Source organism: Homo sapiens, chromosome 7 (genome assembly GCF_000001405.40).
Source record: "Homo sapiens chromosome 7, GRCh38.p14 Primary Assembly".
Lineage (NCBI taxonomy): Eukaryota > Metazoa > Chordata > Mammalia > Primates > Hominidae > Homo > Homo sapiens.
In genome coordinates this window covers 77,201,601-77,215,273 of record NC_000007.14, presented here as the reverse complement: position 1 = coordinate 77,215,273, position 13,673 = coordinate 77,201,601, and the positions used below count along the sequence as shown (strand labels likewise).

General features: G+C 38.2%; 1 protein-coding gene across 8 annotated transcripts in view, besides 1 other annotated feature; it reads right to left on the bottom strand.

The window, feature by feature from the left end:
• The window catches only part of CCDC146 (coiled-coil domain containing 146), a 172,590-nt gene that overhangs the window by 79,931 nt on the left and 78,986 nt on the right, over positions 1-13,673 (bottom strand). The gene's annotated exons all lie outside the window — the stretch shown is intronic.
• Positions 12,316-12,365: an enhancer, noted in NCBI's record as "active region_26204". NCBI's record gives its function as "activates an Ori minimal core promoter by ATAC-STARR-seq in GM12878 lymphoblastoid cells {active_cell/tissue: GM12878}" and the evidence as "EXISTENCE:reporter gene assay evidence [ECO:0000049][PMID:35858748]".

Below are 13,673 nucleotides of genomic sequence, written 5' to 3'. Positions count from 1 at the left end.
GGCAATGAGCTAACAACTATAAAGGATGGGAATAACTATGTTTAAGTAAATGAGTTCACAGTAATACTTCAAAAAAAAAAAAACACCAAAAAAATAAAAACACCCCACAACACCTCTCACCTTTGAAGGATACTGGGGAATCAATTAATCATTTTGAAAACCTGAAAATCAAGTATTTATCATGCCTCTACAGCAGGGTAACCAAATAACTGAGTGGAAGCTTCTCTTTTTAGAAGGATTCTAATAAATAAGTGAAGAGAAAATAATAGTATTATAATATTGTCATTTAAAATTCCTAATGAATTAATAGACCCAGGCAAGTATTATTAATAGCAGGTAACATCACTAAAAGGGAGACAACCAATATCATGTGCCTCCTGATGAAAGTTCATGCAACCAAGAGGCATCCCATTTTGTGAATTCAAACTATACTACAAGGCTGTAGTAACCAAAATAGCACGGTACTGGTGCAAAAATAGACACACAGATCGATGGAACAGAACAGAGAACTCAGAAATAAAGCCATATACTACAACCAACTGATCTCCAACAAAGCTGACAAAAAGAAACAATTGGGAAAGGACGTCCTACTCAAAAAAATGGTACTGGAAAAAGTGGCTAGCTATATTCAGAAGAATGAAACGGTACCCCTGGCTCTCACCACATATAAAAATTAACTCAAGAGGGATTAAAGACTTGAATGTAAGACCTCAAACTATATAAATCCTAAAAGAAAACTTTTAAACATTAGACTAGAAAAAGAATTTATGACTAAGACCTCAAAAGCAAATGCAACAACAACAAAAATTGACAAATGAAATTTAATTAAAGAGATTCAGCACAGCAAAGAAACAATCAATGGAGCAAACAGACAATCTACAGAATGGGAGAAAATATTTGCTAACTATCAGGCTGACAAAGGACAAATATCCAGAATCTATAAGGAACTTAAATCAACAAGCAAAAAACAAATAACCTCATTAAAAGGTGGGCAAAGGACATGAACAGACACTTCCCAAAAGAAGACATATGAGTAAACAATCATATGAAAAAATGCTTGTCATCATCAGATAAATGCAAATGAAAACCACAATGGGATACCATCTCACACCAATCAGAATGGCTATTATTAAAAAGTCAAAATATAATATGTTGGCAAGGATGTGGAAAAAAAGGAATCCTTATACGCTGCTGGTTGGAATGTAAATTAGTTCAGCCCCTGTGGAAAACAGCATGGAAATTTTTCAAAGAACTAAAAATAGAACCACCATTTGACCCAGCACTCCCACTGCTGGGATTCTCAAAGGAAAAGAAATCATTCTATCAAAAAGACACCTGCACTCTTATATTTATTGCAGCACTATTCACCATAGCAGTCATGGAATCAACCTAAGTGTCCATCCATTAGGATTAGATAAAGAAAATGTGATACATATACACCATGGAATACTATGCAGTCATAAAAAAGAATGAAATCATGTCCTTTGCAGCAACATGAATACAGCTGGAGGCCATTATCCTAGGTGAATGAATGCAGAAACAAAATCAAAGTATTCATTTTCTAACTTATAAGTGGGAGCTAAACAATAGGTACACATGGACATAAAGATGGAAACAATAGACACTGGGGACTTCAGAATGGGAGGGAGGGCAGTGAGGGTTTAAAAACTGCCTACTGGGTACTATATTCACTATTTATGTGATGGGTTCAAGAGAAAGCCAAACCCAACATTATGCAGTATACCTGTGTAGCAAACCTGTACATATAACCTCTGAATTTAAAATAATAATTAAAAAGAAATGATAAATGTTTGAAATGACAGCTATGCTAATTAACCCGATCTGATTACTATACATTATAAGTATCAAAACATCACTATGGGTAGAGCAAGGTGGCTCATGTCTGTAATCCCAGTATTTTGGGAGGCTGAGGTGGGAGAATTGATTGAAATCAGGAATTTAAGACCAGCCTGGGAAATGTGGTGAGACCTTGATTCTACTAAAAGTTAAAAAAAAATTAGTCAAGCATAGTGGTGCACACCTGTGGACTCAGCTACTCGGGAGGCTGAGGTGGGAGGATGCTTGAGCCCAGGAAGTCAAGGCTGCAGTGAGCTGTAATTGCGCCACTGCACTCCAGCCTGGGTGACCAAGTGAGATCTTGCCTCAAACCACCACCACCACCACACAAAAAGCCATCACTATGTAAACCATAAATATGTACATGTGACAATAAAAAATTTAATAAAAACTTGAACAACAACAAAAAACAAAGTTGATGGCACCACCTAGAAAGTAGCCTTGGCAAAAAAAAAAAAAAAAAAAATTAATGTGACCTGGATAAAACATTTATGCACTAAGGCTCTATGATTATAATGGAAATACAGGCTTACTATTAAGCAAAATCCAGATTATGGAAAAATTTATGGGACAAATGGCCCAGCTTCTTAAAAAAAATTTTCTATTACATTACCACATTACCTTACCTCTTGCCATGTAGGCTAGAATCTGCTAATGACACTTACAGGCTTAGCCAATAACCATGAATAATTTACTCTTTTCTTTTTTGTTTATTTATTTATTATTTGTTTATTTATTTGAGACATATCACTGTGAATGGGATTTTTTTCTTCAATTTTTTTTTTTTTTTTTTTTTGAGACGGAGTCTTGCTCTGTCACCCAGGCTGGAGTGCAGTGGCGTGATCTCGGCTCACTGCATGCTCCGCCTCCTGGGTTCATGCCATTCTCTTGCCTCAGCCTCTGAAGTAGCTGGGACTACAGGTGCACGCCACCACACTCGGCTGTTTTTTTGTATTTTTAGTAGAGACAGGGTTTCACCATGTTAGCCGGGATGGTCTCGATCTCCTGACCTCGTGATCCGCCCACCTCGGCCTCCTAAAGTGCTGGGATTACAGGCATGAGCCACCATGCCCAGCCTTCAATATGTTTTTGAACTTGTTATTCTTATTAAATAGGAAAGCTTATTCTTATTATAATAGGAAAGCTATATATTTTTCTTCAATATGTATTGAACTTATTATTAAATAGGAAACCTATGTATTTGTATATTTATTTTGAAAATAGTCACCTTACTGTACTATAATATTATTTTGTATTTTTTATGTAGGCATTTATGTCAGCTACAGATAATGGTCATTTGTTCTTTCCCATATGTATGCATCATTTTCTGTCTAAGTGCATTGCATATAATTCATTTTTTGAAAGTGAATTATATGCAATGATCATGCTCATATCAGGCACCCTTTCCTTATTTCTGATTTTAATGGGAACACTCCTGGAGTTTCACAATTAAGCATGACATTGGCTATTTGTTTGAAGTTAGTGTTTAAAAGAGTAAATAGGCTGGATGCGGCAGCTTACACCTGTAATCTCAGCACTTTGAGAGGCTGGGGTGGGCCGATCACTTGAGGTCAGGAGTTCAAGACCAGACTGGCCAACATGGTGAAACCCCATCTCTACTAAAGATAAAAAAATTAGCCAGGCATGGAAAAGCACGCCTGTAATCCCAGCTACTCAGGAGGCTGAGGCAGGAGAATCATTTGAATCCAGGAGGTGGAGGTTACAGTGAGCTGAGATCACGCCACTGCACTCCAGCCTGGGTGACAGAGTGAGACTCTGTCTCAAAATAAATAAATAAATAAATAAAAATAAAAAAAATAAAATAGAAGCAGCACAAACCCTGTAACAAAGCAATTCCATTTCTTGGTGAATAACCCTTCAAGGTGCATGTACAAGTATATGGAGAGACATGTACAAGAATGCTCAAGTAGCATTATATCTAATAGTTGAAAACTGGAAACAATCCTAATGTCAATTGGAAATACAACAGATAGAGGACTAAACATACAATAGAAAAATACATGCAATAATATCAATGGTTCTTACAAATATAACATTGAGTTAAATAATCCAGACACAAAAAATACATTTTGTATGATTCTATTTACATCAAGTTTAAAAAACAGGCACAGCAAAAGGAAGGTGTTTAGAGATTCATGCTTAGGTGGTAAAACTATGAAGAACCACAAGAAAAAAATGATAATAAAAGTTAGGATAGTCGCTATGTTAGAGGGGGTGAAGGGGGATAAGAGGAATTACTGAGAGCTAATGTTTTATTTTTTGACCTGGGTGGTGGTTACTTGGGTATTTGGTCTGAATTATACATTTATAGATACCCTAATGTATATCTAATATACTTCACAATTTTAAAAGATTAAAAACTATTACAAGATTGATATAGTTTGGCATTGTGTCCCTGACCAAATCTCATGCTGAATTGTAATCCCCACTGTTGGGAGAGGGACCTGGTGGGAGCTGGTTGCATTAGGGGTCAGATATCCCCCTTGCTGTTCTCATGATAGTGAGTTCTCATGAGATCTGGTTGTTTGGAAGTGTGTAGCACCTCCCCTTTCACACTCTCTCCCTCCTGCCCCAGCCATATAGGACATGCTGGCTTCCCCTTTGCCTTCTGTCATAATTGTAAGCTTCCTGAGGCCTCCCTACCCATGTTTCCTGTACAGCCTGTGGAACTATGAGCCAATTAAATCTCTTTTCTTTATAAATTACCCAGTCTCAGGTAGTTCTTCATAGCAATGTGAGAATGGACTAATACAGAAAATTGGTACCAGAGAAGTGGGGCATTTCTATAAAGTTAAGTAAAAATGTGGAAGCAGCTTTGGAACTGGGTAATGGGCAGAGGTTGGAACAGTTTGGAGGGTTTAGAAGAAGATAGGAAGATGAGGAAAAGTTTGGAACTTCCTATAGACTTGTTGAATGGTTGTGATCAAAATGCTGATAGTGATATGGACAGTGAAATCCAGGCTGCAGAGATCTCAGATAGAGATGAAGAACTTATTGGGAACTGAAATAAAGGTCACTCTTGCTATGGTTTAGCAAAGAGACTGGTGGCATTGTGCCCCTGCTCTAGGGATCTGTGGAATTTTGAACTTGAGAGAGATGATTTAGGGTATCTGGTGGAAGAAACTTCTAAGCAGCAAAACATGTAAGATGTTCCCTGGCTGCTTCTAACAGCATACACTCATATGTGTACACAAAGAGATTATCTGAAATTGGAACTTATATTTAAAAGGGAAGAAGAGCATAAAGGTTTAGAAAATTTGCAGGCTGACTATGTGGTAGAAAAGAAAAATCCAGTTTGTGGGGAGAAATTAAAGCCAGCTGTGAGAATTTGCATAAGAGGAGCTGAATGTTAACAGTCAGGACAATGAAGAAAATGTCTCCAAGGGCATTTTACAGATCTTCACGGCAGCCCCTCTCATCACAGGCCTGGAGGCCTAGGAGGGAAAAATGGTTTTGTGGGCCAGGCCTAGGGCCCCACTGCTCTGTGCAGCCTTGAGACATGGCACCCTGTGTCCCAGCTGCTCCAGCTCCAGCCATGGCTAAAAGGGGTCAAGGTACAGAATGGGCTGTTGTTTCAGAGGGTACAAGCCCCAAGCCTTGATGGCTTCCATGTGGTGTTGAGCCTGTGGGTGTGCAGAGGGCAAGAGTTGAGGTTTTGGAGCCTCTGCCTAGCTTTCAAGGGATGTACGGAAATGCCCGGATGTCCAGGCAGAAGTCTGATGCCAGGGTGGAGCCCTCATGGAGAACCTCTACTATGGCAGTTCAGGGCAAAAATGTAGGGTTGGAACCTCCACACAGAGTCCCCACTGGAGCACTGCCTAGTGGAGCTGTGAGAAGAGGGCCATCGTCCTCCAGGCCCCAGAATGATAGATCCACCAACAGCTTGCACCGTGCACCTGGAAACGCCACAGGCAATCAATGCCAGCCCATGAAAGCAGGTGCAGGGGCTGTACTCTGCAGAGCCACAGGGGTGGAGCTGCCCAAGGCCTTGAGAGCCCACCCCTGTGTCAGCGTAGCTTGGATGTGAGACATGAAGTCAAAGGAGATTCTTTTGGAGCTTTAAAATGTAATGACTGCCCTGCTGGGTTTTGGATTTGCATGGGGCCTGTACCTACTTTGTTTTGGCTGATTTCTGCTTCTTGGAATGGGTGTATTTACTCAACGCCTGTGCTCCCATGTATCTTGGAAGTAACTAGCTTGTTCTTTATTTCACAGGCTCATAGGTGGAAGGAACTTGCCTTGTCTCAGATGGGTCTTTGAATTTGGACTTTTGAGTTAATGTTGGAATGAGTTAAGGACTTTGGGGAACTGTTGGGATGGCAGAATTGTGTTTTGAAATGTGAGAAAGACATGAGATTTGGGAGGGGCCGGAGGTGAAATGATGTGGTTTGGCTTTGTGTCCCTGCCCAGATATCATGCCTGTAATCCCAGCACTTTGGGAGGTAAGGCAGGAGGATTCCTTCAGCCCAAGAGTTCTAGACTAGCCTGGGCAACATAATGAGACCCCATCTCTTAAAAAGATTAGCTGGGCATGGTAGCATATGCCTGCAGTGCCAGCTACTTGGGAAGCTGAGGTGGGAGGATTGTTGGAGCCCAGGAGGTTAAGGCAACAGGGAGCTGCTGTGATCATGCTACTGCATTCCAGCCTGGGTGACAGAGTGAGACCCTTCATTTTTCTGATTTGTATATGGGAGATTTTGGAGTGGCAGTAGTTAGGGAAGTAGGTTAAAAGACAAAGAGAAACAGAATGAAGGACAGAAACAGGAAGCTCTCTTCTCTGCCCAGGCAGCATATATCTAACATAGCAGTAGTTATAGTCATGTGCTGCAGAAAGATGTTTTGGTCAACAGTGAACCACATATAGGATGGTGGTGCCATAAGATTATAATATCATATTTTTACTGTGCCTTTTTTTAGATACACAAATACCATTGTGTTACAGTTGTATACAGTATTCAGTACAGTAACATGCTAGCACACTGTACAGATTTGTAGCCTAGGAGCAATAGGCTATACCACATAGCCTACATGTGTAGTAGGCTATACCATCTAGGTTTAAGTGTACTCTATGATATTAGCACAACAGAGAAATTGCCTAATATTGCATCTCTCAGAACGTATTCCTGTCATTAATAGACTCATGACTGTAGATACTGTGCCACCTTTGTGGTCTAATTTGGAATTAATGACTCTAAAAGTGTCCATTTTGGAGTTATCAAGAGGAGAACCTAATGATGTGGCAAAGTGAAAGGGAATTGAGGGGTTCAGAAAAGGTGTCCTTACTGAACCCTGCATAAGGCCAAACATGTTGCCTGTGCCCAAGGCTGGGTCTGGCTTGAAATGCATTCATCTACAACTTAAAGCACCACAAAGTCAAGGATGTGTCCGTTTTTCACCCTTGTTATTCCCAGGGCTAGTATACAGCCTAGTCCAATAAATGCAAAGTAAGTGTTTGTTGAATCAATGAATACCTAAAAAGAGGTAGATCTGTACATTTTCTAGTAGAATGATTTAAAGTACAGTCTGAATTTATGTTTATATCTTGATGATCTGCTTTGCTATTATATTGCTTCTAATTAATAACATTTAGAATCATAAAATGTTACACCTGAAAAGGACCTTACAGATCTCTAATCTGACCATCTCATATTAGAGATAAGAAACTTAAGGCCTAGCTTGTTAAGGCTTAGTTCAGTGGCAAGAAAGTTACTGGAAGGCTCTTCACTAAGAACATATATTCAATGACTACCACCCTAAGGCTCTTTTCATTCTATTATATCTTTCTATTTTTTGAGATGATCATAGTAATAAATGATTTATTTTAAATCTATATTTATATATGACTGACACAATTTGTGTCTATTTTGCTGTTTTCTTGTGCAATAGCAATTGTTGCAGCTGAAATTTGTATCAATTGTCAAAATACTGCCTACAAATAAACACTATCAAAATAATTTTGTGTTAAATACACAAGCAGAAAAAGCTGTGTCAAATAATGGTGGGTAGTTTAAAATAAACTAAGGGCCAAGCAATTTTACATCTGTTGATAATAATCATGAAGTCGTTTTTTCCACCCTGAAAAGTTTTCACTGCAAATAACAGAAAATGTCTTTAATCATACAAAATATCAAACTAGAAGTAGAACAAGAAAAAATAAATAAGATAATGCTATACCTCAGAATGCTATACTTTCAATCATGTTTTAAAAGACTTCCTTAGAAGAACTTAGATGAGGAGATACCCATGTATTTCAATGTTAACTGTTAAAACTACAACATTTACTCCATTTAATAAATTTTTAGTTACCAGCACAGTGGAAATGGCCTTTCAATTAACATTTATTGCGAGTTCACATGACGACATCTATATCTCATAAGATAAAGTTAAGAATCTTTAAAAAAAAGAATTTCAAAGAATGCAATGGCCAGCATTTAAAAGACATGCATTTGGCATGAAATTATTTAGTTAGTGGGGAATTAGTAGTTTAATATTTTCACTTTACCATAATAGTTTAATTGTTTAAGCAACACTATTATTATGAATAAATTGAAATATTAAAACAAATTTCTAAGCTATACATTATTATTAAATTTATATTTAATGGATTACATATTTCACAATGTTCTATATGGCATGACATATAACATACAATATATAAATATGTAATAGGTTATATATTATATAAATTCATGTGTGTATATGTATGTGTGTGTGTGTGTGTGTATATATATATATATATATATATATGTATGTTTCTTTTTTGGAGACAGAGTTTCGCTTTGTCACCCAAGCTGGAGTGCAGTGGTGCAATCTCAGCTCACTGCAACCCCCACCTCTTGGGTTCAAGCGATTTTCCTGCCTCAGCCTCCCATGTAGCTGAGGCACACACCATTATATGCATTACAGACACACACCACCACACCTGGCTAATTTTTGTATTTTTAGTAGAGATGGGATTTCACCACATTGGCCGGGCTGGTTGAACTCCTGACCTCAAGTGATCTGCCTGCCTTGGCCTCCCAAAGTGTTGGAATTACAGGTGTGAGCTACTGTGCCTGCCTATATATTATTTTAAAATGCCAAAGAAAGACAGATAAACAAAACCCCCCAAAAACACAAGTGATAAGCAGGTAAAATCAAATTATACATATTAGAATAAATACATAGGCAGTTTCAAGAATTTAAAGCCCTGGATTTTGTAACAATATATGGGCAATCCTCATTATTCATAGATCTTGTCTTTGTGATTTGCCTACTCTCTAAAATTTATTTGTAACCCCAAAATTAATACTTGTGGGACCTGTGGATCATCTATGGACATGCGTAGCGTGGTAAATATGTTGATTTGCCAAATACATATATACCCAGCTGAAGTCAAAGAAGGCAACTTTCTGCCTTCTTTTAGATCTCATACTGTAAACTGGTATCCACTTTGCAGTCTATTTAATTAGTGCCATGTTTTTCACATTCTTGTGCTTTTTCTTGGTGATTTCGCTGTTTAAAATGGCCTCTGACTCATCTGGAGAATGTGACTGAAAGAAAAGACATTTTAAGAAATAATAAAATAAAATGGCCCCTGAGCATAGTGTTGAAGTGCTACCTAGAGGGTTTTTGTTGTTGTTGTGTTTGTCTGTTTTTGGGACAGGGTCTGACTGTATTGCCCAGGCTGGAGTGCAGTGGCATGATCTTAGCTCACGCAACCTCTGCCTCCTGGGCTCAAGTGATCTTCCTGCTTCAGCCTGCCGAGTAGCTGGGACCACAGGTGTGCACCATCATGCTTGGCTAATTTTTTGTATTTTTGGTAGAGATGGGGTTTCACCATGTTGCTCAGACAGGTCTCAAACTCCTGAGCTCAAGTGATTCACCCACCTCAGCCTTCCAAAATGTTGGGATTACAGGCCTGAGCCAGCATGCCCAAGTTCTTAAGCTCCAGATGGCTGTGATGTGTCTTACGGAGAAAACACATATATTAGATAAACTTCTTTCAGGTTTGAATTATAGTTCTGCTGGCCATGAGTTCTGCATTAATGAATAAATAATATATATTAAATAGGGTGTCTTTAAACAGAAACACACTTAAAATAAGGTTATATATTGATTGGTTAACAAAAATGATGTGACCAGAGGCTCTTAGAAACCTAATCTTAGGAGCAATGGTTCAGTATTTGCTGATTCAGTATTCGCAATGACTTTATAGGAAACAACTACCATGAATATGAGAAATGAAGGCAAGATATAGAAAGCCACAATTTGATTCTCCTAATTTCTTTACTTTGATTTTATTATTTGTTTTGTTTTGGGATTATAAGAAGAAGCTTAAGATCAATCTCAAATACAAGAAGTAAAAATTCCTGGGCTCAAGCGATCTTTCTCCTTAGCCTCCTGAGCAGCTGGGACTGTAGGCGCATGCCAGCATGCCCATCTAATTTTTAAATTTTTTGTAGAGACAGGGTCTCACTATGTTGCCCAAGCTGGTCTTGAATTTCTGGCCTCAAGTGGTCCTCCCACTTCAGTTTCCCAAAGTGCTAGGATTACAGGTGTGAGCTACCGCACCTGGCTGGCTATATGAAACTTCCTAAGTCTCTGGAAATTTAGGGAAATGACAGTAAATTAGATGTCATATCCATTAACCTTTTGGATCCTTCATGATCCCTGGCTTGGTGTGGAGTACATAAGAATTGATTTTGTTGATAGGTATTGACTGATGAACTTTCCGAGACTCTTGTGGAATATTCCAGTTCCATAAAGTTTCAATCTGAGAAGCCCTGGATACTCCCACTTAAGACCTGTGCCATTAGCATATTGGATAACTATGTTCTGTAGTTTCATTAATAGTGAATATCTGTATATTTCTGCCCTATACTTCAGTTGATCCAGAAATCTTAAGGATTCCCATAATAGATCTTTCATTGTAGGTCCATATTGGAAGACTTCTAGTCTGAATCTCTCATCTATGCCAGAATGAAGTACCTGCAAGTCATACCACAGAACCTACCAACTATTATTCTAGCTTTAACCAAAAGTCAGGCAATTCTTGTTCTGTGGGTTGTGGAAATCATTTTTTTTAAGTTCTTTTCATGAAATTTATAATGAACAAGGACTAAGACCTCTAAGGAATATTAAAATAAATATTTACTGTCGATATTTCAAATTAAGTAGTTTAAAAAGTGAATGTTTTAATTTTCTTATCAGAAAAGCACATATTCTTTAAAGAACAATTAAAGGTTCCTGAGTTTAATAAATCAGAAACTACAAATGTTAATAAGCTTAATATCAGTGAAAGGCTCTCAATACTATAAATACGACTATCATTAAATTTACTTTCTTCTTTTAGTACAAATAGAAACACAAAGGGTTTCCTTGAAAAAAAAAACTGTATTAGGGGAAACAAAAATTTACTTTAGGAATCTGATCCAGTTATAGAAAATGCAGATCTTCTCTTAAATATACTTTGTGTAAGCAAAAAGGAAGTCTGAACATGTGAATATAGACTAATGAAAGTAAAATTTCATATGCGGCTTATAGAAATAAATTTTGCTACTTTAAAATCCCACCATGTATTGGTGTTAAATAATTTGCTTAAATCTAAAAACAAGTCTGTAAGTGAGTGTAATGTGTCAGTGCTGGGTCAAGGACAGATTCAGGGTAGTAAGGAAGATTCTGACACCGCCATGAGGAATAAGCAGCCGATACTAGGAGTCAGGGTAGACTCAGCATGAGAGAATCCAGAAGGGCTTTCAGCAAGAGAGAAGAGGCAGAAGGTCAAGTCATGAGGTGGGAACTCCTAGTAGTGAAGGACAAGTCAGCTCTTCAGGTTTCGATTTTCTGATGGCCTAGTCCTGCTTGAAACCCTCCCTTTTCCTGGTATTCATGACGCTCCTGTACTCTCCTGGTTCTCATCCTATTTCTTTGACCATCTTTTTGATTCCCGTGATTTCAAATTAACATCCACATCTATTCTGTGTCAATATTCATACCTAGATGTGCCACCACTCTTTGCTTGATATTTGCATTTGGTGGCTTGTCAATGCTTAAAACCCAGTGTACTGAAAACAGAAATACTACTACACTCTCCCCAACCTACTGCTACCTCTGTCATTAGCATGCTATCATTTAACTGCAATCAGAGGCAAATTTCAGAGTTGTCCCTCTCTTTCCAGTTCTCACCACTTATCAGATCCCATGGCTTCTATCATGCCTTGGTAATAATGCCTCCATCTCCTTTCCTACCCCTCCTGCCTCCACACTGGTTCACCTCTTATCTAGTGCCTGCTACCACACTACTAGCTCTCACCTAAAATGCCATTTCCCACTGATTTGCAGCAGAAGATTCATTCCTAAAATAGTCCTGGGGGGGGGGGGGGCAAGTATTTTATTTTCCTTGCTCAAAAACCTTTAGTGGCTCTCCATTGATCTAAGCATTGCTTTAAGCACAGGCTCTCCACATAGTTCTCACATACCCTCCCCATGTTATCTTTCCTCCTACGTGGCAATGTGGCAAAGAGAAAAGATATGAACTTTGAATCAGATACAGGTTCAAATTCCAGCTGTCTCTTAAAAACTCTAAAACAGAAACTGAAAACTGTAAAATGACCAGACAAGTCATTTATTGCTTTGAGCCCTTTCTTTGCTCATCTGCAAGTGCAGGGAGGAACCGTAGAGGCGGTACAACACTCTCTGCCCTCCATGAGTTATACACTCATTAGGGGAGTTGAGCCTCTTTTCATGCAGTAGTCACTTAGCATCTGCCTTCCAGTCAGTGGCCAAATGACTTTCTAAACCGAGAACCTAGCAGGTCACCTGTCAGTGTCAATGAAACTGGTCAACAGAGGAGTTCTCTACCCTTATGTCAGGGAATTTTTTATGCATTCTGAAGGGACAGAAGCCAGTTCTCAAAGCACATCCAAGCTTTTTAGGGGAAACTGTGCCATTGGCCCTTGGTTAACTGGGGTGTGACCAGCCAAAAATTAGCAGCAGTGCTTGACACGCACATTTCTGATTCAAACAGATGAACCAAAAGCCCACTGCAAGAGTCCAAAAGCTGTACTTCTGTTAGGTTTAGAAACTTTAAAAAGTACTTAAGATTTCATTTCAAAGTCCAACGTGAAGAAAATACCAGGTCTTTAATGCCCCTTTCTAAGAAGGAAAAAGGGATTTTTGTCTGATTTGTTCACCAGTGTGGCCCAAGTGCCTAGAATAGCGGTTTTGCATGCAGAGGGTGCAGAGTCAATTTATGATGAATAAATATATAGTATATCAATATATGTATGAGGAATAAATGAATGAAAGTGCCTGTGGCACGCATCTTATATATGCTCTAGCATAGTGCTGAGTATACAGAAGATCCTTAATAAATACTTTACTAACTAAATGCAGGGATTTATACTCTAGTCAGTCAAGGACATTTCACAATATCCTTAAGGACTAGGAACTAAATATCATTCCTATATATTTCTACTTTACAAAATGGTTTTTTTTTTTATCTATGTTGTCATCATGTCTCCTTTTTAAAATTATCTATTGTTTCATTTATTTCTTACCTCCCAACAGGGAAGTGTCACAGCTTGAAAATAGGTGAGAAGAAATGAGGTTAGGAGTTAGGGGATTAAATAGATATTTTTAGCTAAAAAGTTTTTGTCTAAAATTGGATATATTGAATGGAATGAAGAGAAAAACAATTTTTGAAAGAGCTATATGAAGATGGAAGAAAAAAAGTCATAAGGTGTGTAGAACATGTTTGACAAATTTATTTGGGAAGAATGTTACATTTATACACTGCATTTTTTTTTTTCTTA